Source organism: Homo sapiens, chromosome 5, assembly GCF_000001405.40.
Source record: "Homo sapiens chromosome 5, GRCh38.p14 Primary Assembly".
NCBI classification, from domain to species: domain Eukaryota; kingdom Metazoa; phylum Chordata; class Mammalia; order Primates; family Hominidae; genus Homo; species Homo sapiens.
In genome coordinates, this window is record NC_000005.10 from 38,482,507 (window position 1) to 38,509,220 (window position 26,714).

The following is a 26,714-nucleotide window of genomic DNA, read 5'->3' on the forward strand; positions in this document are numbered from 1 at the left end:
TTTGCATGTTAAAAACTTTTCACAAAAGATTAAAAAAAGAAGCCAGCACATCAAAGATAAATATAAGAAAATAAAAGATTACCTCACAGACACTCTTTTGAAACTGTAATGCTTTACAGTTTTCTGGATTTGGAATATCAGGGTAGAAGGTTTCTTTAATCCTTTAAATAAAAAATTATTACAGTAAATTTAATAGTTTTAAGATTATTAGATAATAAATTAATAAATCATTAGGCTTATTTTGAAGTATTTATGAATCCTTTAATGCACATCTGAGATTAAAATGGAAGATCTTTAGTGTGATCATTCACTACAGCTGTCTATACAATGCACTGAGAGGTTCCAACTTGAAAACCATAAACAGAATTCCATTTCTGGAACTATAATACCCATGTATCTCATGAAAATGGAAAGCAAGTAATTAAAATTGTGGCTGTGCCATCTAGTCCAAAGGATCTGGACTATGTAAGAACAGCTGTGATCCCATGGCACTGCTTTACTGAGGTGGTTAAAAAGGTGGTCATAAAGGTGATAACTACATGTCATGAGTACACTGCAGGCTGTGCTAAGAAAAAGGCTATTAATCTTGACCAAAAACTAAATGCAGCCAAAAATGAGATTTGCCTTTACCGAGGTGGTCATAAAAGTGATAGCCACGTGTCACGAGTACACTGCAGGCTGTGCTAAGAAAAAGGCTATTAATCTTGACCGAAAACTAAACGCAACCAAAAATGAGATTTGCTCAGTGTCCTATCATATTTTTATATTTATAGCTACTAAAAAGAACTGTATTACTTGAAATTCCTACAGAAAAAATAACTTTGTTAATGTGAGTTTGAAACGCTGTAACTTCTAAACTCCCTTCTTATTTTGTCTTTTTTTTCTTTTTTTGGTACTTTAATAGTTGGGTTTTTTTTGTTTTTTTGGTTTTTTTGAGACAGAGTCTTGCACTGTTGCTAGGGTGGGGTGCAGTGGTGCAATCTTGACTCACTGCAACCTCCAACTCCCTGGTTCAAGTGATTCTCCTGCCTCAGCCTCCTAGCCTCCTAAGTAGCTGGGATTACAGGCACGTGCCACTATGCTCAGCTAATTTTTTGTATTTTTAGTAGAGACAGGGTTTCACCATGTTGGCCAGGATGGTCTCGATCTCCTGACCTTGTGATCTGCCTGCCTTGGCCTCCCAGAGTGTTGGGATTACAGGCGTGAGCCACTGCACCCGGCCTAATAGTTGTTTTAAAAATGTGAATTTTGGTAATGAGAATATGGTTACCAAAATAGACTATTCTATAGTTCTACAACTATTACTATTTTGATTTATAAGCCAGGATTGCTAAAATATGTTCTCTTGTCATAAATGATGGCATTTTTAAGGTCGGTGAGGACTGGTCTAAGCATGAATGCAGCCACTGGCTCCATACCCAGCCAGGACAGCTCTTGCCAGGTGACCATGCACATGGCCCTCTCTCCCACGGAGCTCCCGCTGACCTCACCTCATGTCACTCATTCCTGTTTCACCAGGCACACAGCTCCTCCCACTTTCTCTGAAGGTTTGACTCTTTCCAATTTCAGGGCCCTCAAAGAAATAATTATCTGTCTGTAACATTCTTTTCCCTCTCCTTACCCTTTGGAACTGTACCGCAGACCAGCCGTGACGGGCCATGGCCGACCAGCTCGCAGGACGTAGCCCCCTGCTGGTCTCCTCAGGGTACCTGGTTCAGTCTTCCTAGCACCCACTCACACTCTGCAAGCACACACTTGCTGGATGCCTATGGTTTACTGTCCCTCTTCCCACACTGTGCTCCAAGTCTATAAGAGCCATGGCTTGTTTTGTGCACCACGATATGATATCCCCCTTCACATGGAAGAGGTCATTCATATTTGTTGAATAAATGAGCAAATGATTAAAATGACCAGATTTTCTAAATAGGTCACCAGGGCAAGTGAGATCTTAATCATTAAATTATGCTTAATCTTGTAGATAGCTATTGCCATATTTCAGCCTATAAATATTTTTTATAATAGTAACTGCTATGACTTTAAATTATTAGGAAAAATAGTAGAAAAAATTTACACATTGACTCTATTAAGACCTTTAAATAATATGTCATGTTCTTAATATTAAATCCAACATTAATTCTAATTAAAACATTTTTTAACTAACTTATTACAACAAAAAAGATACACTTATTTAATACATAAACTAATCTTACAAATCTTATAATCATGCCTTTAAGAAGAAAACAGCAAGAGTAAATGCAGAACTATTACCATTCTCGTTTCCGATAGCAAAGGATACTTGTCACCACTCCAACAATGACAGCCACTGCCACTGGGATGAGAATGGCAATAATTAATCCCACAGCTGAAACGAGAGTATTGCAAATATTAAAATCGCCATTTTTAGTGTGAAGTACAGAATAGATGTATGTTAGAAGGTATTTAGGTTGGTAAATTATTTAGGAAAAAAACAAAATTAACTGCTGCAGGGACACTGAAAAACTATTAAAATCAAACTTTCAGGTATTGTGATAATTTTTATACAAATACTTAAACTCTTCCAAGTAGGGTTTCTCAATCTTGATACTTGTGACATTTTAGGCCAGACAGATCTTCACTAGAGGATCAGGGGAGACAGTCCTTGCACTACTGGAAGTTTAACAGCATCCATGGCCTCTCACCGCTAGATACCAGCAGTATCCCCCAGTTATGACAACCAAAAATGACACGAGACAGTGCCAAGTATCTCTTAGGTGACAAAATCACTCTCCGTTGAGAATCACTGCTTTATAGAACCATATCCTCATGGCTCTTTATATAAGAGCTGTGTGTGAACTCCAACTCAGGGGTAGAGGATAAGCCTATGATCGAAGTGAAGTTCTTTACCGCAGAAAGATAGTCAAGGCCATCACTCTTCTCTCAAATTTGAGTGTTGTGCTTTACAAAAAATTTTTTTAAGAATATCTCCTTCACTTTTCCCTAGATATGTTAGAAATCACATAACAGCTGGAGCAAAATATTTTTAAATGTTGACCGTTAGATAAATTCAATATGACTTTAGACCTCTAGACTTCAGATGTATCCCAAATTCATTAATTTCTTAGGTACTCATTTGGAAATAACTTCAAATAACTGACAAGAATAAACATGAAGTAATCTTACAGCTTTTTAACCCTTCCCTCTACCAGCCAAAAACTGCAACAAAATGTGAATGTTTTTTAGAAAGGGCGGGGAGGGGTTCCTACATAAACCAAGAATCACTAGAACACTACGCATGCAGGATGGAAAGCACCTCAACAGCAACCTGAAACTTACAATTTTCCTTTGTCACCACATACATACTCTTCTCCGGGCCCACTCCACCATCTGTATAGGCTCGCAAGACCAGGTGGTAACTTGTTTTACCTTGAAGATCAGCAATTCTCAGTGTCTTCTGGGATATGTCAGTAATATTCTTAACTTTTATGTCAGAACGACCTATTTTTAAAATGAAGTATGTTAGCACTAATCTCTAACCCGTTTCAAATGCATGGTTACCCACACCTGTCTCACCAACTGCCCTTCTAAGTGGGTCTAGCTGAGGCCATCCCAGCCAAGGACTCTGGAGCTGCCACTACCTTGTTCAAGCTCTACCCCCACGCCAGTCATTAGCTGTGTCGTATGGGCCCCTTATTTAAACCACTCTCAAGTGGAGTTTTTCTACTGATGAAATAGAATATCATGACTTAAGCTGTTTGAAGTTTTCACACACATTCTGTAGCATAATGCCTGGCACACAGCAGGCAATCAATAATAGTCCCATTTCTGCTACTAAAAGCATGAAAACCACCACAACCAAAAGCCACTTAGGCTGAGCCTTCCCATGAGTGAGAGTGAAAGATGGGATGAAGCAAACCTGCAGATCAATAGAGATGACTCCAAACCACTTAGAAAAAGGATCAGTGTGATGGGGACTCTCAAATAAGACTAATGAGAAATCCTTTGGGTTATAACTTCAAAAGGAAGAGTGAGGAATCATTTGAACTACTATTTTATTTTTAAAAATTTAACCAGAATAATGCAGGATAACAGGTTAAAAAATTAAATAGTACTAAATGGTTACTAACAAAAAGTGACAGTTCTCTACCAGCTCCTCCCCTCGCCCCCTACAACCACTGTAAAAGCCATGTAATCAAGTTTCTTTGGGTATTTATCTCTATATTCCAAAGTAGCAAACTTAGAGAGATGTGACTTTTAACTATTAGACCTTATCTACACATACTTTATAAGGGCAGATAAAGATAGAGCTCTTTTACGCTACCATCACCCTTTCCCCCACCACATCATTCGTATAGAAACATCGGAACTTTTGATGAATTCAGTGTTTGGATTACTATGATTATATAAATATGAGTTACTGCTAAGACACATTGCTTGGTGTCATCATGTTTCCTATCTTGTTTTCCCATTGTTATAACTGCTTTTTCCCTCATTTGCTTGATTTTCTACATACCAGTCAATAATTCTTCCCATATCCTCCAATGTACACTCAGATTTTCCACGTGGTCAAACACAACAAAATCCCAGGTCCACATCTTCTCTGCCCTCCCCTCCACCCATCCCTTGCCTCCTGCACTAGACTGGATGCCTTCAGGGCTGAGGCCCTCCTGGAGCTCCCTGCTCTCTCTCCCCTGTGGCTTCCTGGACCGGCCTCACTTCATTTCCTCATTAGGATGCACTCTTCTAGTAGCTTCTTGAGAAAAGCAACATGGGGAAAGTAAATGTTTGCAGCCTCGCATGTACAAAATATCTGCATTTCTCTCTCACGTTGGTTGACAGACTGGTGGAGTATCGAATTTTAGGTTGAAAATAATTTTCATTCAGTATTTTGAAGAGACTTCTAGTATCTGGAGTGTTGCTGGGCTGTCTATTGCCATTATTATTCCTGATTGCTTGCACATGACCTGCTTGTCTCTGATCATTTCTTTCACATTAGCTGCTTGGAAAATTCATAATGACATACCTTGGCATAGATCTTTTTTCTATTTATTTTGCTGTGTATTTAATGAATTCTTTGGCTCTATATACAGTAGTCCGCCCATTTTCCTCAGAGAATAATTATAACAATATACTGTAATAAAAATTACGTAAATATGGTCTCTCTCTTTCTTAAAGTATCTTATTGTACTGAACTCATCTATTTTCAGACTGCTTTTTGCCAGGGGTAACTGAAATGGCAGAAAGCGAAACCATGGTAAGTGAAACAGCGGAGAAGGGGATCTGCTTGTAGTTAGGCCCTTCAGTTCTAAGGAACGTTCTTCAATCGACCCCTCCGTTCAGACCAGATTGATCCTCACCACTCAGCCTCCAAGGCCTGGTCTGGCAGGTACTGGAGAAGTTCCTTCTCAACAATGCCTGACTGCCCACACAGATTTCACAATCTTCCACTCATTTAAGTCATTTGCCCCACTTCCACCCACAAATTTCTGAATCTTCTTTTTCAGTGTTGTTTTGCCTCTTCTGTTCTCTCCTTGTGGCTTTATTAGAGTTTGGGGGTGTTTCCCCTTCTTTATGCTAACTTTAGTGACCCATCTACCATGTCTCACTGGAAATCCAGATGCTAGAATTTTAACTGGTTCAAGTGTAAAATTTCCAAGCATGTGAGGCAAGTCACACTAGGCTCTGGATGTTTGTGGAATTTGATATTCAGGATGTCCCTCATTCACCAGCAATCATGAAGGTTCAGGAAATGCAGAACTTGGGGACCGAAGGGGAGGCACACACTTTCTGCAGGTGTTCTAGGGAGTGACTGAGACAGTGCTCGGCCAGCACTGCCATACCGTGGTGGAGTTCTCTATTTCTCAGACAGGCATTAAATAATTAAAATGATTTCTTTCTGAGGCGAGGTCATCCAGGGACATGAAAGCTCTCAAACTGAAAAGATGATATGCTTGTGTTATGCAGCTATGAATAAGAAATATCTGATTCTCAGCAGAAACATAATGAAAGGAAAAGCCAGAAATCTGTACAATTTTGTATTTGTAAATCTGAGAATTCTCTAAAGTCTTTGGATGTACACTTGCCGATTTCCAAGGATTGTCTGTACTTTTTAATACATCCCCAATCAAGTCAATTAAGTTTTCCAGCTTATCAAGGGCATGGCTAAGACGCTAATAGGCCAATGGTTTTTTGTCAAATTACAACTGAGGATCTGAAGCTAACTCTTTGGATTCCTGAGTTTTTCTCCTCCACTGCTGTAAGTAAAAGATTTCTTTTTGGAAGTAAACTTCATGAGATGCCTTGTTATGGATTATGTACAGCTCTAATAAGAGATGGTTTCTGTCCTATGAGGCTTATAATCAACGGCTTCAGAATAAATGATTTAAATGATTTCTGAAAGACTATACATGTCATTATTGCACACTAAAATCTTAAAACTCTTATATTCATAGAATTACTGCCTTTTCATTTCTCTATCTTTCAGATAGTTTTGAAAACCAGTACTAAACTACTGAGCAGGACTTTCCTTTTTTTTCTGTTGTGGTTAATGAGAAACTTCTAAGAAACACTTTCCTTGTGCTATCAATTTACTCACCTGATTCTAAAACCCTCATCTTAGATGTGTCTCTTTCTCCTTTTCCAAAGTAAAACAAATATCCTCTTAAAAAGCCTCTAAGTTCTTCCACAGGAATGTCTTCCCATTTTACTAATATCGAATCTGCAGAAGTATCCTCAACAGTAAAATTTGGTGCAACAATGGGAGCTGTAAAAGGAAAAAGTCAATTGCTAAAGGGGAGTGTATGAATACAGAGTAATACAGTAATGTTTCCTGAGCTTTCTAGCCTCAAAAATAATTCAACTTGGAATTAAAACTTTATTTAATCATAAACTTTCAGAGAGAGATGATCACAAACGCTTTTTTTGTGAAGCTTACATACTAATAACCATAGACAAAAATATTTTTAGGAACAAAGGTAGAACTTACAATATCCCTTTTAGACAAACACATATCTAGGGAAGCAATCTATGCAAAATCTTTCAGTGGCTATTCAGATAGACTTCATTTGTATTTCACATCTTTATTGATAGTCCTGAAGAAGTTAATAGTTTTTTAAACTTGTAAAAGTACTAATTAAATATTTTTGACATCCAAGTTCAGATTTAATTTTCCTGAGGACGAGTAAAATTGTGAAATGTAAACATTCAACAAATGATTTCAGAGTAAGCAGGCCCAGTGCAGTGGCTGATGCCTGTAATCCCAGCACTTTAGGAGGCTGAGGTGGGAGGATCGTTTGAGCCCAGGAATTTTGAGACCAGCCTGGGCAACATAATGAAACCTCATCTCTACAAAAAAAAAAAAAAATTAGCTGAGCATGGTGGCATGCACCTGTAGTCCCAGCTACCCAGGAGGCTGAGGTGGGAGGATCACCTGAGCCCAGGAGGTTGAGGCTGAAGAGAGCCATGATCTCACCACTGCACTCCAGCCTGGGTGACAGAGTAAGACCCTCTCTCAAAAAAAAAAAAAAAAAAAAAAAAAAAGAGGAGGAGGAGAAAAAAGTAGTAATCAAATACTTTTTAATTTATCAAATTATTTTACCTTCCTTCAATTATACATCTTATTTTTAGAATTCAATCATACCATTGTTGCCAATTTATAATTTCTCATGTTGCCTTGAGCTCTTATAAATAAGTACCCATTTAACTTACCCAATTCTTCTATATATCCAATCATGGAGCGTAATAATTGATATCCTTGATTTCTGCATCCATACAGGAAAAAATTATATCTTATACCTGGTCGAAACTCATCTATAGGATGAACATATCAGCAAACTTTCATAAATATATTACTATGAATATCTATTTTAGAAACATCAAGTTCATAACATACTCTAAAATTTCCAAAGCTAATTTTAAAGATGTTTTCTTATTAAAAAATACATATATATTTTAAAGACTAGTAAATATTCAAAAGAAAATTGACTAAACAAAAATTAAATTTACTTCTATTTTAACAAAAAGTTTAGTAATATAAGATGGGATTGCATTGAAGAGAACAACGATGATTTAAGGCTTACATTTTGTTCCTTTTTCCAGGAAGAAATCATCATTGCTTGATTTTTTTTTTTTTTTCTTTGACGGAGTCTTGCTTTGTCGCCCAGGCTGGAGTGCAGGGTCATGATCTTAGCTCACTGCAACTTCCGCCTCCCGGGTTCAAGTGATTCTCCTGCCTCAGCCTCCCAAGTAGCTGGGATTACAGGTGCCCGCCACCGCACCTGGCTAATTTTTGTATTTTTAGTAGAGAAAGGGTTTCACCATCTTGGCCAGGTTGGTCTCAAACTCCTGACCTCGTGACCCACCCACCTTGGCCTCCCAAAGTGCTGGCAACTGCTTGATTTTAATGAACAAAATGTAAGTCTACATCAACTTCCTGGGTCAGTTCACTAAGCCATTCATTCGAGGTCCACATCATGCCTCTATAAATCCCTTCCTTACCTAGTGTTATTTCTGAGTTGGAAAAAGCAAACAAACCCACTGCTCTCTCCTCTTGTTCCAAGAAGCAGAATTAAAAGTTGCACTCTGCCTTGAAGCTTCAGTGTTAAAGGAATTAGGTCTTAGAGTTTATTCCTCTTTATAACATCACCATTAAGTGTCCTTGGGTGAGTTAACTCCACAAGATATAGAAATACTTTGAATTAACTCCACAGGACATAGAGGTACTTCCAATTGAAGTACCTTAACTTAAATTCAAAAGGCTGCTTTTAAATGTCTCCTGAATACAATGCAATGTGTACAATGTGAGCAACACAGACATGCACAAAACGTCAAGCATGGAGACACTTGCAGAGTGGTGGGGAAGACAGACGAACAAGGGTAACCATAACAGTGTGTTATATTAGAGGTATGTATCAGATGCCATGGAATCTTAAGTGAGGGGCCAAATGAGTCTAAAAAGATCAGAAACAGCTACAATAAGGGCCATCTGAATAAGGCCTTGAAGGGCAATTAGATGCTCATCAGTGGTGGTCGAGAAAGAAGATAATGCCGGGGGACACGCAGGGGGGATTGGCAGCATATGGCATTGCATTTAATTTGCAGAATGCAATTATTCTGGTGTGGTTAAAGCATTAGTTCTCCAATCAAGTGCCTATAAAACACCAGTGGCCTACAGGCTCCAATTTGAGACAGTAGTCAACTTCTAACATCATACAACCCAAGAAAAACTGAATCAACTTGTCTAAAATATTAACTTTTCTTCTTGTAATCACTTTCCTTAAACGTTTGTTATGTGCTGGCACGTCCTAAGTATGCAGTAATGCAACTCAAGCTCAGCCAACTGTGTTTAGTTTTGTAACATTTTTCTTTGGAGAAAGGTATGCTTGAGGTTATCATTTTATACTGCATGTACATCTGTAAATCTGTACCTCTTTTTATGTTAAAATTATTTATTAACAATATTTTATAGGGCTCTGACACTTTAAAAAAAGAGGCTGAGAAGGTTAGAGCATTAGGAATGTGCTAAGGTCAAAAAAGAGAGTGGACAGCTTAATGAGTAGAGAACAGGATGAGAGAGGAATAAAAGGTGTGCCTACTATGTGCCACTTGCTGTTCCAGAAGCTCAGCAGTAAATAAAAGACAATATTCCCAGCCTCTTGAAGCTCTGAATAACTCTGAATTTGAACCTGGGTTCTATCACATACTAATTTTGTGACCTTGGAAAAGGCACCTAACTTCTCTGAGTTTTTGTTTTCTCAAGCTTTGTGTCTTTGTTCAATTGAGTTGGCACAGAAAGTTCTCTTCCCACAATCATCGCGGGGCAGCTTCCCCATATCCTGCAGGTCTCAGCTAAAACTTAAATGGGTAGATACTCCATTTATATCCACTCCAGCCTATCCCAGTCCATCCTGATTATTCTAAAAGCTCAGGTGAGAAAGGACAGACTGGAATCGTGTAAGGCTCATTCAGCAACATGGGAGGGGATGGAAGGGAAGGTGCAGGAAAAGAAGGGTAGCATGTGGCTGGGTCCTTGATAAGTACAGTGCACTGTAAGGAAGGATAAAGGGAACAACTCAGGAAGATCATTACCACTTCAGCCAATTATACATGTGGAGGAGTTTGGCTGTATTCCAAGTAGAACTGGAAAATAATCTGAACTCATACATGATAATCCAATGAATGGGACCCATCCTCATCATCTGAGAGAGAAACAGTAAGCAAGTAGAAAGTGTTCCCTGAGAGAGAGGTAAGGAGCAGGCTGCTTGCTCTTCTGCACTTCCCTAACACGCGAGGGAGGCAGGAGACAGGAATGATCACGAAGCATCACTACTGACAAGCTACAGGGTCCAGAAATCCCATGGGGACAGGCAGGATACACTCCCATTGTGCCAGGAAAACAACGATGATATTGCAGAGAGGGCTCTAATTCCTAAGGACAAGGCTGGATTAGCCTGTAGGTTATTAAACACTCCTCTGTGGAAAAACTTCTCAGGCTGCATCCCATAGAGGGACACTCACCGGCAGCTCACAAGCTCCTGAGCATCAGGCTCATGGAACGCAAGGCCTCCCACCCACACTGCGCTCAGTCCAGCCGATGCCCCCTTGCCCTGCATCAGGGTTAAGTGGTAAGGGGTTCACGGTCTTTGTGCTCAGTCTCTCCCTAACCTTGGTAACCTGGACCCTGGGCAAACAAGGCAAAGGCCCTTGTGTGAGACCAGGCTACAGTTCCGTAGTTTTTTTTTTTCATGAACATTTATTTAATTTTCCACATAATTTTTAATGTTACTTAACATTCCATTTTATAGGTGTACCATCATTTACTCATTCCCTTATTTGCTATTTGGGTTTTTAATTTTTCACAATTATCAATAATACTGTCATGAACATTCTTAGATTAAATCTGTGTTGTTCTCTGATTATTTCTAAGAATAAATTTCTAGACCAGTAATTACCAGATCAAAGGGTTTGGATCCTTCCATGTGCTGCCACAACTACCCTCCCAGGAAAGTCAAACCTATTTATACCCATCCAGCAGTAAAGAGAATCACTTCACTGCACCCAGTCTTACGTGTTGCCTTTTAAAAATATTTTGTAGAACTTAATTGAGAGACACTAATTCATCTTACCAGATTCTATTACAGTTTCAGTGCTGTTTGAGGGAACTTTTCTCCAGTCCATAAGGCATGGTTCCGACCGAGACGAGTTACACCACTTAATGACGTAGTCGCAAGTCATGTTGGGGTCGTAATGCCAGGTGAGGAGAATCCCCTTTCCCATCCCAACAACTTGTTCTATTTTGAGATCATCTTCAATAAGAAAGGAGGATATTTTACTGGCATTAAAAACAATAATATAAGGCAAATCTCATAAAAATGGACATGAGTTAGAAAAATCACTTCATTGTGAAGAAATTATAAAATAGTGCTCAAACTAGATAAACCTAGAGCAAAGATTAGAAGTGTTGCTCTGTTATTTTCATTTTAACAACTGTAGCACTTACCTGTATACATAGATTAACACAGCAGCTCAAAGAAAGTCGTTTTTAAAAAGCGCCTAGGATCAGGTAGTGACATACTGGGACTAGGACATCAAGATCAAGGCACAGGAAGGACGCAGCTAAGGACACTGGCTGGGACAGGGTGGGAGAGGGAGACTGGGGAGGGGACAGTGGACAGTCTGAAGCCCTCCTCTCATCACTCACTATGAATGCGTGCAGAGAACAAGCGGGGCCCAGTACAATGTGCAGAGTAGGCACACAACAAACTTGTGGAAACAGCAGAAGAACTAGCCCCCTCTTTCTTTCAACGAAGACTGCAGCCCAAGAGCTGGGCTGAAGGGGTTGTCTGGCTGACCAGGGGTAGGGTGGGGGCAAGGGAGAAAGCTGTGGAGACACCCAGAGGCGATGAGGTGGGATGGCCAGTGTGGACACTGAGAAGGAGAAGTCTGCACAGCGTCCTAGGAGACACCAAGGGGCAAGGGGCAAGGGGCAAGGGGCAAAGGCTGAGGGCAGAAGACAGGCGCAGAGGCCCTGGCAAGGTTTTGTTTCCCTGTCTTGCCAGATCTTGGCCTAGGTAAGAAGTGGAACCCCAGGCTGGGGGTGAAGAATTGGGGTAGAAGATAGGGCAGTGTGGTCAAAAGGGAGAAGAAAATTTCCCACCGTAACAGGAGAAAAGAGGTAGATTTTATAACTGATTTGTATTTAAGGGTTCAGTAAAAACAAACATAGAAAGGTTTCTAAGAATAAATTTTTAGACGAGTAATTGTCGCAGGAGCCAGATGCTCAGGAGCCTGCAAACTGCAGGTGAGCGGCCCTTGACGGGATGCAGCCATGGGAGAGTACTTAATCACCCACAGGCTACAGAGAGCGTTCAGTAAAACCAACACAGACATTACCCACTGTAACAGGAGAAAGTAACTAATAGCTATAACTGATTTATATTTAAGGGTTCAGTAAAAATAAACACAGACAAGTTTTTTGAACAAAATGTACATTCATAAAGCAACTACTACTAAACGCAAGACAACAATTTGGCTGAGAATAGAGAACACTTCGGACATAACAGCTTTTTTTGCTCAACGTGATTAAAAAGCCACAGTGTAAACCTGAGTTGAGGCTGCAGAGCCTCCCTCCACTCGGGAAATCCTCAAGGAATGAGGATTTGTTCTGGGGTTTCAGAAAGTGTCTGGAAGCTGATGACAGAATTGCTAGTTCTGTAAATTACCATTTTCTAAGGGATACACAGAAAAGGTAGGATTATGTTTCCTGAATTAAAAGACAACATAGCTATTGCCTAGCATTGTGAGTGCAATGAAACATATAATCTAAATCAGTATGTTATCTTCTTATGGATGTTCACATCTCTGTCTCCTTCATTTTTTATTTTGTTATTTTTGCCAGGCCAAAATGAAGAAGCCATTATTAAGCCCCTCCTCCCAGCACCTGCCACAACCCCTGTGCATCTCCAGCAGCACTGCTGCCTGGGGTTTGTATCTCTGAAATGCACTTTGTTTTCCCCCTTCCTTCCTCCTAATTCTCCTATGACTGACTCAAAGAGAACAAAGATGCAGTCAAGTAACAATAAGAAACAGCCTCAAACTGGAGTTGGAAAGCTACTTAGAGGACCCTAACTGGACCAATTTTTCTTCCTCTAGGAGCTGTGGTTACAGAAAGGTGCTCCCATATCGGGGCAAGAGAGCAAAGGTGGGTAGGCAGAAAATGACTGGAGCACAGAGGTCTGTGGAAGAAGAGGTGGAAGTGGCCGTTTAAAGCTCATAACTCTCAAAGTTGTCAAGGCAGAAGCTGGGAAGAATGTATTAATCACTGGACATCTGTAAAATTTAAAGAAAGGCACTAAATTTTAAAAACTACACCACAGTTGTTTTTCTAAGGCCTATATTGAAGATCTAATTTATACCTTAAGAAGACTTTTTTTAATCAATAAAGAATTTCTATTAATAAGGAATTTCTTATCAAAAAAGGTGCTAATTAAAATAAGCGTTTTTTTTTTTTCCTGCCCAACAATTTGCAAAACAGCCTAGCTGACCTAAAATAAACTTTCCTAGTCTTGGGGAAGTGTCTTGGAGAAGCGTCTGAATATCATTTGAATAAACTCTTAAAATATTTCTTCCTAAAAGTACTATCCACCACTGTAACTCTCCAATATTATCCACTATAGTTACTGAGTACAGTAATGATTGTATCCATCAGTGCACATGCTTCAAGTCAATACTAATGACTTCTTTCTCAATGAACTGTAGACATCAATCTGCTCATTCTGCCTTCTAGGTCAGCAGCAACAAGGTATACGAGAAGAAGGCTGACATGACAAAAGAGCAAGTAACATCAGACATTTCTCACTTTAGTTTCCCGTTCTTATATACTAAATCATCTCAAGCACTCACCATTTGGAATTTCCATACTCGCTATTTTGGAAGGTGGTGATGAGCCCACAGAATTTTTAGCCACTACGCTGATGATGTAGTCATTCTTATCAAGTCGTATCTCTGCTTTGTGCTGAGGATCAGGGATTTCAGAAAGGGACTGTGTTTCCTCATCTGATGAACACGATACATTGTAGGAAAGTATTTTTCCATTAGCTTCATTAATGGGTAAAGGCTATGAAAAACAGACAAATTGTTATAAAACCCTGCAAAACGTGACTGTGACTAGGCAAGGTAATTGGGTTTAAACTGGACACTATATTAACAATAACAAGGTTGGCCAGGCGTGGTGACTCACGCTTATAATTCCAGCACTTAGGCCGAGGCAGGTGGATCACTTGAAGTCAGGAGTTCGAGACCAGCCTGGCCAACATGGTGAAACCCAGTCTCTCCCAAAAATACTAAAATTAACCAGGTGTGGTGGTGAGCGCCTGTAATCCCAGCTACTTGGGAGGCTGAGGCAGGACAATCACTTGAAGCCAGGAGGTGAAGGTTGCAGTGAGCCAAGATCATGCCACTGTACTCCAGTCTGAGCAACAGAGCGAGACTCCATCTCAAAAACAAAAAACAACCAGTTACAAGGTAGTATCAGAAAAGATGAAGCTGGCCAAGTGCGCCTATAATCCCAGCACTTTGGGAGGCCGAGGCAGGCGGATCATGAGGTCAGCAGTTCGAGACCAGCCTGCCAAACATGACAAACATGAAACCCTGTCTCTACTAAAAATACAAAAATTAGCCAGGCATGGTGGCACCTCAGGAGGCTGAGGCGGGAGAATCACTTGAACCTGGCAGGTGGAGGTCACAGTGAGCTGAGTTTGTGCCACTGCACTCCAGACTGGTTCAAAGAGCGAGACTCTGTCTCAACAACAACAACAGCAAAAATGAATCTCTCAACAGTGTAAAACACAGATTTAAAATCCACTGGGAGCAGGGTAAATCAGGAAAGAGACACTGAAGAAAAACTATACTTGCTATAAGCAGTAAGAGTACACAAAAATTTAAAAATTAAGTGAATAAAAAACAATATTTATCTCCACATTTTTCAGGAGCAAAACTTTTAAAACTATCCAGAAGCACTGCTCTACTTAGCAACAAACAAAACATTTTAAAAAATAGCATCATGGGTTTTTTTCTAAACATTTGTTTTCTCATTTTAAAGTATTACATGCCCACTACAGAAAATTTGGAAAATATATAGAAGTTGAAACAAGTAAAAATCTCCCATATTCCCACCTCTTAAGTATTCTTTCATTTTGATATTTCTTTCAAGTTGTTTTTCTAGGTATAGATTTTTTTACTAACATTGTTTTAATCATATTACACCATTTTACTTTTTACTTTTCCATAATATATGCTAATATACGCTTGTCCATAATACAGTTATATACATTTTCATGGTTTTATGTCTTATGTAGCATTTTTACCAGTGTACTTGAATATCCCTTAAATAAATGAAATTTAAGTTGTTTCTAATTTTTCACAATACTAAAACAAATATTTTGGTGAACTTTTTTGTGCCACTTTTTTTCTTTTTCATAGAAATTTTTAATATGAATTTCTAAAAGTGAACTTACTGTATAAAAACAAATGAACATTCAAACCTCTTCATTTATACTGAACTGCTTTTCATAACAACTGCCTTAATTTATACACCAATGTATGGGGCTCTCTGGTCAAGACTGAGGATGATCTAACACTGCGAAACACTCTGCTCCAGCAGAGGTCTCTGTGATGCTCCAAATGGCCTGCTCTAAGGGGCAGGCTTTAGTCCTAAGACTTATGGGCTTCTTGGGATACTCCAGACCACACACTGTTTGAAATGTCCTCCTCCCCCAGCTTCTCTAATTCTATTTTCTTCGTTGTTCCTGCCCCTCTAAACCTTCCCCATCTCCTCTGCTGGTTCCTCCTCCTCTGCTGGTTCTATGCATGCTGCTGTCACCTGGGCTCCATCCCTGGCCCACTTTTCACCTTGCATCTCCAAGTGATCCCATTTATATGCTACTCAAAGCTGTTTTCAGTGCCAACCTCTCCCCTGAGCTCCAGAGCCTTACATATATCAAACCGCCTACTGAACTCTACTCATGATATCCCAGTGGCATACCTTTTGAAAACTCACTATGACCAAAACTACATAATTTCTACCCGAACACACTCTGACTTGGCAAATGGCGGCACCATCAGCATAGATAATGAAGCTAGAATCTAAATCATTTCAATGTTTTTAGTCTTAAGTTTTCGTCTAGTTTGAACAATATTTCAAACTTTCGTATATTGAAGTAAATTGTATAATCGTTGCTATATTATCATGAAATCTGACAGGCAACTGAGAGTAGCTGGGGGATTTTCTAATCAAGAGTGGATGTAACAGTCAAATACAATCTCAAAGCAATGGAACTCACATTGAACCTGCATGTACACTTCACTTTACTCAAAGCTGTATCGACGTCAAAAGTTTTTTTAAATAAAATTATGTTTTACTTTCCATAACAAAATTCACTATTTAAAGGAATCCTATTATGACTGCTTGTGTAAAATCTAATATAGAAAACAATTGTTCATGTTTTTGATATTCATAAAATACTTAAAAATATGGCAACAAAAAATGTTCCAGCAGAGAAAAATTAGTAAAATATGCAATTCATATTTCATCTAAATACTTTACAAAATCATACAAAACTTTATAACTGGCATGTTATAATGCAATTTATTGAAGGGAAATAAATTACACATGAAGTATATAAAAATTTACTTTCCTATTAATAGAAAAAAATATAACAAACACTTAGGATTCTAACCTACAGATTTTGACTGAAGTGAGGGAGATGGAATTCATGAAATCTTCAGGTCCTTTACAGGCCTTATAAGATCAAACTCGAGAAGGCTCAGATCTGACACAGGAGATCCTCAAATGACTGTGGGGAGTTAGGAGTGACGAGGAATTTGGGGGGTTTAGGAACCAGGTTAGATTCTCACCAATATTGCAACAAAAGCCAGTCTGGGAAGTTTCAGCTCCTTGATAACCCAAGTACCATGCGTAAGTTAAGCAGTTTAGCAAAGTAATGTAAATGTTCACAGAAAAATTAGATATTTACCTTCCAATAGATTATTAAATTTTTTCCATCAGAACTCCACTCTCTCCAAGTATCAGGCCCCTTTGAAGGACCTAAAAAGGAGATTTTAAAGTTAATATCTGAAGACACATACTATATGTATATGGTGCTTGGCATTTTTTTTCTAGGATGTTTGGAATTCTCAATAAAACGTGAAGCAGTTCAGTGGCTTCCACTTAGAAAATGAAGCAATGGAAAATCTAAGCTCTCAACAACTTTTGCAAAACACACGGCCCCCTCGAATGGGTGAAAATCTACCTGCAGGCCAGCTGTACTGATTCCCTGGGTTCCCCTCTGCCTCACATCCTCTCACTCCCTCCTTTCTTGGCCACACACTGGCTTCCTGGCTGTCCCTCAGATATGCCAAAGACACAACTGCCTCAGGCTCTCTGCATCTTCTGTGCCCTCTCTTCCTCTGCCTACAACTCTCTTCTCCTAGATAAAAACAATATGGCATGCTTCCTGATCTTTGTATCTCAGCTTGAGTATTACCTTATTAGTGAGGTCTTTTCTAACTACCCTATTTAAAACTGCCATTCCCTTCACCCCCTCCTTATCCCTCAGCCTCTATTCCTATCACTTCCTCTCCTCTGTGGCATTTGTCACCAGCTGATAAACTGATGTGTCTGTGTCTTTGTGTTTGTGTGTGTACATACATACATATAGATGTGTATATATATAAATTTATTTCTAGTCCTGGATCCTACAAACTCCATAGGCCGAGATCTCTGTTTTATCTGCTGCTATATCACTGCTAACTAGAACAATTCCAGACACATACAGGTTGAGTATCCCTCATCCGAAATGCTTGGGAGCAAAAGTGTTTCAGATTTTGGATTTTTTCTAATTGTAGAATATCTGCATATACATAATGAAATATCTTGGAGGATGGGATCCAAGAACACATAAAATTCATTTATGTTTCACATACACCTTATACACACAGCCTGAAGGTAATTTCATACAATATTTTAAATAATTCTGTGCATGAAACAAATTTGTGTTAAGTACTTAAGTGTGGAATTTTCCATTTGTGGCATCCTGGTGGTGCTCAAAAAGTTTTGGATCTTGGAGCATTTCAGGTTTTCAGATTACGTATGTTCAATCTGTAATGCATACTCAGTAAATATTTGTTGAGTAAATTGATGCCTTCATCTTAATGAGGTGCAAATAAGATGTTTCCTCTTGGAGACAACAGCTCATTAACTGAAGGCAAAAACTACAGTGGCTAGTCTCCAAAATGACCAATAATCCCCATGTGCGTGGTGCCCTCCCACATTGCATCAGGGTTGGCCTGTGTGACCAACAGTGTGCAGTAGACATAATGGTATGTTACTTCCGATTTTAGAGCATAAAAGATACTGTTCAGTCACCGGCTCTGGGAGGAACTGGCTGCCATGTCATGAGCACACTTAAGCAGGCCTAGAGAGAGGCCCACAAGGTGAGGAACTGAGGCCTCCTGCCTTTAGCCACATGAGTGAACCATCTTGAAAGTGGATCCTCTAGCCCCAGTGAAGCCTGCAGTCCCCACCCACATTCCTGACTGCAGCCTCATGAAAGACTCCAAGTCAGAGAGATCCAGCTAAGCTGCTCCTGGATTTTTAACCCATAGAAATGGGAAGATCATAAACATCTGCTGTGTTAAGCCACTGAATTTTAGGGTAATTTGTTGCACAGCAATAGATAACTCATATCCTCCCTCTCTGTACTCATGCATAGCTTTCACTTTTGATGATACAAGTAATTCTTACACATGTCGCAAAATGCCCTCATCTCTATTCTTCACATGTCTTCATGTGGAGAGGCAAAAATCTAGATTAACATCTATCATTTATTTGCTTTGCTATTTCTTAAATTTTTGGAGGAAGTATTATACTGCATAATATAAATAAAGCTTTTGCTATCTTTTGTTAAATGATTCCTAAAAATTAAACCTATTTCGGCCGGGCACAGTGGCTCACGCCTGTAATCCCAGTACTTTGGGAGGCCAAGGCAGGCACATCACAAGGTCAGGAGTTCGAGACCAGCCTGACCAACACGGTGAAACCCCATCTCTACTAAAAATACAAAAATTAGCCGGGCGTGGTGGTGGGGCCCCTACTTGGGAGGCTGAGGCAGGAGAATCACTTGAACCCGGGAGGCGGACATTGCAGTGAGCCGAGATCGCGCCATTGCACTCCAGCCTAGGTGACAAAGTGAGACTCTGTCTCAAAAAAATAAAAAATTAAACCTATTTCTGAGTTTTTTTTTTTTTACACCTGACATCTGGTTATTCGAAGATAGAATATCATTCTGTCTTTGGAAATTATCATATTTAGAAAACCAGTTACCTGATTTTATACCTAACTTGACCTGGGTATACTACAGAAACTGAAGTTCAAGACCTTTTAGCCACATTTCTCAGGTCTAGGTCACAAATAAAAACTAACAAATTCTCTTTTTTAGTAATTGTTTTTTTTTTTTAAAAAAAAGGCCAATGAGTTAAAAGCATAATTAAAATTCCAAGCAGAAAAGAATGGGAGAAAAATCATTCTATGCATTATCGTAATATGGTGGCAATCATAGTATAGATAGAGGAGCCCTGGCTTTCTCATAATTTATGCCAATCATTTTTCTATACTATGACAAAACTTCAAAACTATCATTTAAAATATCTGTGATATTTTATTAGCAGGTATTACATAATTTATCTAAACATTCCCCCACCTTTAAGGACTCTAATAGCATTTTTTTTTTCTTATTTAGAGACGGAGTTTCACTCTTGTTGCCCAGGCTGGAGTGCAATGGCGCAATCTTGGCTCACTGCAACCTCCGCCTCCCAGATTCAAACGATTCACTCCTGCCTCAGCCTCCCAAATAGCTGGGGTTACAGGCATGCACCACCATGCCCAGCTAATTTTGTATTTTTAGTAGAGATGGGGTTTCTCCATATTGGTCAGGCTGGTCTCAAACTCCCAACCTCAGGTAATCTGCCCACCTCGGCCTCCCAAAGTGCTGGGATTACAGGTGTGACCCACTGCACCCGGCCAACATCTTCTTTTTAAAGAAGTTGTAAAACTTCAGAATACACAGTAATTATTAGCCATACATCACTTAGTTAACTTACTGGCTTCTGTTGTTAAATGTTGTTTTTTATTGCTCCATTTGCTCCATTTCCAGAAAGTTTCAGTAGAACAACGAATCCGAAAAGTATATAGAGTGTATGGATTTAACTTGTCCAGAGCAACAAGATAACTTGAATTTTCTACTCCTTTGATTGTGACATTCCGCTATTGGAAAACAAATAAATATATATATATGTATATATTATGTGTATGAATACATATATATATACATACACATACATACACTTTTTTTTGGTAAGAAAGCCTTCACATTTGTAACACAAACCAACGGAATGTCAATGAGTTTGTATATGTAACACCCAAAGCAGTTTATCCACTGTAATATTTTAATTCTTATATACCTGCCAAGCCAATGAAATTATGCCCTGTAATAGTAATAAAAAATTGGGTTATCTTTTTAATCCAAATACTGGCTCTAAGTAATAATGGTCAATTAAATTATCTAAAGGATTATATAATTTTGATAATCAAAGGGCTAATGGTGATGCAATAAACCTTAATGTGATTTATAATTTGAGATGACTGTGAGGAATAAATGTATTATTTGGATGATATTTGGAAGTTTCTTGGAGGCAGGCATTACCTTTTGTGCATCTTTGTTAATATGACACTTAGAACTTCTAGTATGATGCTAAACATGTAGCAAATATTCAACAAATACTTCCTTAAACTAAGTAAATATAGTTAAAATGAAACATTTCTAAACAAATTTGAATATCTGCCTGTTTCACAAAAGCCTCTGAGCTCCCCAAAACATTACAAAGAAGGTTTTCAGGTTATATTTTACAGTTGTGACTGATTTTCTAGACATCAGTAAATTTCCAAATGAATAGTTAAGTACACCTCATTTATTTCAGACTTACCACAAATTACAAGATAGTATAATATAAAAGTCAACCTAAATATTTAAAATGTATTAAAAAGTCATGTTGTGACTTTTAAGTACCAATTACAGCTTGTTCCCACTGCCACACTTCACAGTTTTAAAAAATCACTTCTGCTGTCTAGTGCCAATTCATCCATTAATGATGCTAAAAGTTACAGCAAAAACTACTCATTCATTCACAAATTTACGGAGCACCAGCTATGTGCCAGGTACTATAGTGCATCTGGGAACATTCTGAGGAGTAAAAGTCATATTTACAATTGTTTTTCAAATGATACAATGCTGTTATTACATGGATAGTAATGTCTTTCTTGGTTCTTAGTAAATCTCTATAATAAATAATCTGAGAGCTTAAGCATATCAATTTGCTTAATTCTTTTTGAGAACTATTTTATCCAAAATAATCACAAAGGAAGTCTTTAAGAGAATCTTACCTGCTCTTGTACTGAATTAGATTTCTTAATTTCAATTTCACATAAAAAATTAATCTTTGCAAAGTTGCCTGGTAAATGCCAAGAAAGTTTAACAGCTGTTGAATTAATATCCTTCACTTTGAATGAAGTAGGAGTATGGGGATAAACTGCAAATATAATTTTTAAAGATTAAACACTTATTTAAAGGGAAAAACTATCTTCTAATATGACAAATGAGAAGAAAACATAAAAAACAACGAGGCATCATTAGTGCTGACCAACAACATCCTACCCAGTATTTGTGGAATTGACAAACCTAATTTCTACTACTGACATCTTGCCAACATTTTTAAACAATCGATCATGCTCAAAGCTCTTAAATTAGTGTCAGGAATACTCAAAGGTAGTTAAGATCACAGTATCTACCTTTAAGGAACTTCTAATTTACTTAGGGAATGACCAAAAAAAAAAAAGAAAAGAAAAAAGAAAGAAAGGTAATTAATAAGAATATAAATGCCAAGTTCTAAATGAATGATACAGATATTAACCACTATGTAAATGTAAGCATGGTAAGGTAAGTCTTACAGTGAAGATGGAACTTAAGATGAGCTATGCAGGAAGAATCAGACAAAAATTAGCCAAAAAAAATGCAGAAAAGCATTTTAGGCAGAGATGCCAATAATGAAGGTACAGCGAGGCAAACTGCATATTACACTGGTGATAGTGTGTATGCCCAGTTGAGTGGCGGGAAAGAATCACATGGGAAATAAGGCTGAAATGGCAGAGGGCAGACAAATACATACAAATACTACCATGCAAGGATAAAATGTAGCCATGGTGACACTAGGAAAAATCCAGAAATCGCAAAGACGACAGGAAAGAACAACTGATAAAAGTGACTTATGCTTACAAATAAGGCAACAGGATCATCTACTAATCAGCTGTGAGACTGTATGAGACATGCCTTCGGTTTAGGCCCTTTCTCCCCTGCCTGAGTCTCTAAGAGAAGGTCTAGGCCGTTGCTCAGTGTGCTGTGAGCCTGACATGGAGTGTTAATGCACATGGACCATGGGAATGAATACCAAAAAGACCAAGCACATTTTATTTTTATTTGGAGCTATATATTAATACGATTGGTAAAAATGCAATCAGTAATAAAAGGGACGAACTATTAATACATACAACAACATGGATGGCTCTCCAGGACATCCTTAAAAAAAAAAATGCCAAACTGCATACTGTATGATTTTACTTATGTAACAATCTCAAACTGATAAAACAGAGATGAAGAATAGATTCGTTGTTGTCAAGGCACAGGGATGTGACTGTATGTACAGGGGATGCTGGAAGGGCAACATGAGCAAGTTCCTTTGTAGTGACAGGGCAGTTCTGTATCTTGCATGTGGTGGTGGTTACCTGAATCTATACCTATAAATTGCATAGAACTACACACACACACACACACACACACACACACACACACACACACACGAGTACAAATGAATGCACATAAAAACTGAGCAAGGTCAGTAGTCTAGTTAACAGTGTTTTAAGAGTGTCAATTCCCTGGTTCTGATATTGTACTAGAATTATATAAGATGACACCACTGGGAATAGCCAGGGGATGGGTTCACAAGGCTCTTATTATTGTAACTACCAGTGAGTCAACAATTACTTCAAAATAAAAGTTTTTAAAAATTGGGCAGAAGATATTTCAGAAATCAAAAATTATCAGAAAGAGTAAATTACTAATTCAAGTATTTAAATTCAATAAAATAGTAAAACTTGAAATTATACATTTAAAGTTTTTATAAATAAAATTTATGAAATTAATATTAAGTAACTATAAAGAAAATAATCAGCAAAAAGTAATCCCTATAAGCATTTTTCATTAAAGCATTTCACCACTTTTAAAGTTATTTTTAAGACATTAGTTTATGTACAGCTTACCTTTTTCAGTTATATTAACTAAAATTGTTGATTGTGATCGACCCAGCGGATTGTGAGCATTCAAAGTAAAATTATATATTTCTTGATTTGGAAGCATTTGAAATAATAATTGATAGCTTTCGTTTGTAGGTGCTTCAGCTCTTTTAAGTCTAACATATTTTCCTGAAAAACTGTTAATTAACAGAAAAATAATTTCAAAATGGCAAGAGATAAATATTGCAGGAAAAAACGGGCAAATTCGTAATACTTAATTTGTATAAAAAGTTTAAATTTCTAATTAGAAGCATATTACATACTCAGAGAAGAAAATGTATGTGATACAGAAAATAGAAGAAATTAATCAGCCATAAGTTTACTACCGAGAAACAGTCTCTGTTCATGTTCAAGTGTTCTTCATTCTAAGCTTCTTAAAAGAGGAGACATAAAATTGAGTGTACATGTGGCTGAACTGCAGTGCTTATAAGTGTAATTTTATACAGCATATTTGGTTTTATATCTTGTTTGTAACATAAATGATCTAGTGCAGTTCCCTATGTCATTTAACATGCACTTCCAACGTACTCCTTGCCATCTGACATCTTTTCCCAGTTATCATTACCTTTCAACTAAAGTGTAGCTTGTAGCACGTGGGCCCACCAACGCTGTCACCCTTCCTGGATTCCAACTACATATAATTTCTTTTAAATCATGTGTCTCACAATTCAGTTGTTGAGGAGTATCTGGTGGATCTAACAGAAAAAAAATGCAGGTACTTATGATTACATATATTTTCCCTGAAAACATAATATTTTATAAACGTCAATGTTTTCCACAATTTCCTAAAAAATGAAATAATTTACTATTTACATTTTACTTTTGAATAATGCAGGAATTATTCTCTCTGTAGCATGTCTTGTCAGAGTTCATATTACATTAGAATTGACAGATTAAAATATACTGAAAAATGACTCTTAGCTCATCTGGAAACTCCCTGTAGCAACTTGAAATATCAGTTGTCACTTTTTTTCCCTTAATCCTATTTCAGAGGCTACCAAATCTCTCAAAGAAACCTGAGTCTAATATGTTGTCAGAGAAATCTACAGGTTAAAAGTATTATCATCTATCATCAATATACTGTGATTCGAAAAGAAATACCAAATCATATTGAAAATCAGTAAGTCATGTTACATGTTTCAGAGTTCTAAAATACATTATAAGTACTGTTGTTTAGAAAACTCTTGGTAAAATTCTGCATCTCAGTATATACAAACTGACTGCGGCTCTTTTGTTGTTTTTCTCTTTATCAAAACTGCTCTCCCCAGCTTTAAGGCAGGACTAGAAAAATTAAAAGAAATTTTTTTTTTTTTTTTAAGACGAGACCTTCAAAGTGATAAATGAGCCCAGGTGCAGTGGCTCACATCTGTAATCCCAGCACTCTGGGAGGCCAAGGTGGGCAAATCACCTGAAGTCAGGAGTTTGAGACCAGCCTGGCCAACATGGTGAAACCCCGTCTCCACTAAAAATACAAAAATTAGCCGGGTGTGGTGGAGGGTGCCTGAAGTCTCAGCTATTCGGGAGGCTGAGGCAGGAGAACCGCTTGAACCTGGGAGGTGGAGGCTGCACTGAACCCAGATTGTGCCACTGGAATCTGGTCTGGGCGACAGAGCGATACTCCGTCTCAAAAAAAAAAAAAAAAAAAGTGATAAATTAAAAGTCTGCAGTCTGACACTGCTTATTGTAGAAATTCATATTTCTGTAATCATGTTTAACCATACACATATAGAAACTGGTATTTCCTCTCTCATATTTATCCAAACTATCTTTCACTTTAGGTAAAAGTTCTTTTTTAAAAAAACTACTTGTTTAAAAATTCTGTAAAATTTTTTTTTCACAAATCTGAATTAAAAAAAAAATACTCCTTAGTTTATCAACCAAAACTTGGAAAATTTCATACCTTCCCCAGAGATAAGGATAACATCCTTCAATGATATTTCAGGTAACATTAAGAGGATTAATGAGTGTTTATATGAGAGTTTAACAATTAGATAAGTAAACAAACATTGACATATTTATTCTGAAAATTGTTTTAAATCTAAGGCCAAATATTCAGTCACTCTATTAAAACCACATACCAAAAATATGGAATATATTTAAAATGCTGGTTATTTTAGGATTTGGTAGATATTAAGTTGAAATATTAAAATCTAAATAACAAGAGCAAATAAGAGATAAATAGAAGGACAGACAGAAGGGGAAAAATTTGAGAGGACAGTATTTGAAATGTACTAATTTTCTTTTCAAAGAAATTAACTTATAAAATAATCAACTGAAGCTACTAGGTTAAAAGCTAGGTATACATCAACTACATTTTTATATACCAGTCAATAGAAAATGCAATTTAAAAAACAAAGTCATTTTTAATAATATCAGAAAACACCTAGCACTAGGAAAAAATTTACCAAAAGACATAAAGACCTCATATTAAGATGAATTAAAGAAGACTCAAGTAAATGTAGGGATATACCATGTTCATAGTTTGGGAGATACAAATATTGTAAGAATGAAAATTCTCCTAAATTGATCCACGGATTTAATGTAATCCCAATCAAAACGCCAGCAGGTTTTGATTGGGTAGGTGTGTGTGCACGCAGACGTGTGTGTAGGGAAAAACTAACAAGCCGATTATAAATTTCTTTTTCTTTTTTTTTTTTGAGACGGAGTCTCGCTCTGTCACCCAGGCTGGAGTGCAGTGGTGCGATCTCAGCTCACTGCAAGCTCCGCCTCCTGGGTTCATGCCACTCTCCTGCCTCAGCTTCCCGAGTAGCTGAGACCACAGGCGCCTGCCACCATGCCCAGCTAATTTTTTTGTATTTTCTTTTTTTAATAGAGACAGGGTTTCACCGTGTTAGCCAGGATGGTCTCGATCTCCTGACCTCGTGATCCGCCCGCCTCAGCCTCCCAAAGCGCTGGGATTACAGGCGTAAGCCACCACACCCGGCCTAAATTTCTTTTCAGTCTTTTCCGTAAATGGTGGCTTAACAGGATATCCATAAAGAAAGGAAATAAATGAATCCTGATACCTAACTCACGAAATAACCTGCTCTTATAAATTTCCTAAAAGTTCTCTCTGAAGGGAGATGTTACTGCTGCTCAACAAATATTGTACAATATTTCAACCTCCAAACGTTATAAATGAAGGTTAAACTATAAATTAGCTTGTTCTATTACTATGATAAAAGATTACAACACTGTCTGAAATAACACAAATGGAAACAGTGCACAGTCTCATTTTTTAAGTTTTAATTTCTTCTTTCATACTTTTAAGTAATAGCTCACT

At 37.9% G+C, this 26,714-nt stretch overlaps 1 protein-coding gene across 7 annotated transcripts in view; it reads right to left on the reverse strand.

Annotated features, from left to right (window-relative positions):
* Positions 1–26,714, reverse strand: part of LIFR (LIF receptor subunit alpha) — a 133,736-nt gene that overhangs the window by 7,839 nt on the left and 99,183 nt on the right. For 6 of the 7 annotated variants that reach the window (XM_017009463.2, NM_002310.6, XM_047417172.1 and 3 more), the window contains 12 exons: positions 23,997–24,126; positions 23,399–23,568; positions 21,470–21,615; positions 20,131–20,293; positions 17,007–17,077; positions 13,876–14,089; positions 11,100–11,279; positions 7,684–7,785; positions 6,572–6,739; positions 3,313–3,474; positions 2,269–2,362; positions 83–161 (listed from right to left, as the gene is read on the reverse strand). In XM_017009463.2, coding sequence (XP_016864952.1) covers positions 83–161; positions 2,269–2,362; positions 3,313–3,474; positions 6,572–6,739; positions 7,684–7,785; positions 11,100–11,279; positions 13,876–14,089; positions 17,007–17,077; positions 20,131–20,293; positions 21,470–21,615; positions 23,399–23,568; positions 23,997–24,126 — 1,679 coding nt within the window. The remainder of the gene's footprint in view (positions 1–82; positions 162–2,268; positions 2,363–3,312; positions 3,475–6,571; positions 6,740–7,683; positions 7,786–11,099; positions 11,280–13,875; positions 14,090–17,006; positions 17,078–20,130; positions 20,294–21,469; positions 21,616–23,398; positions 23,569–23,996; positions 24,127–26,714) is intronic. The other variant, NM_001364298.2, reaches the window with a different exon arrangement.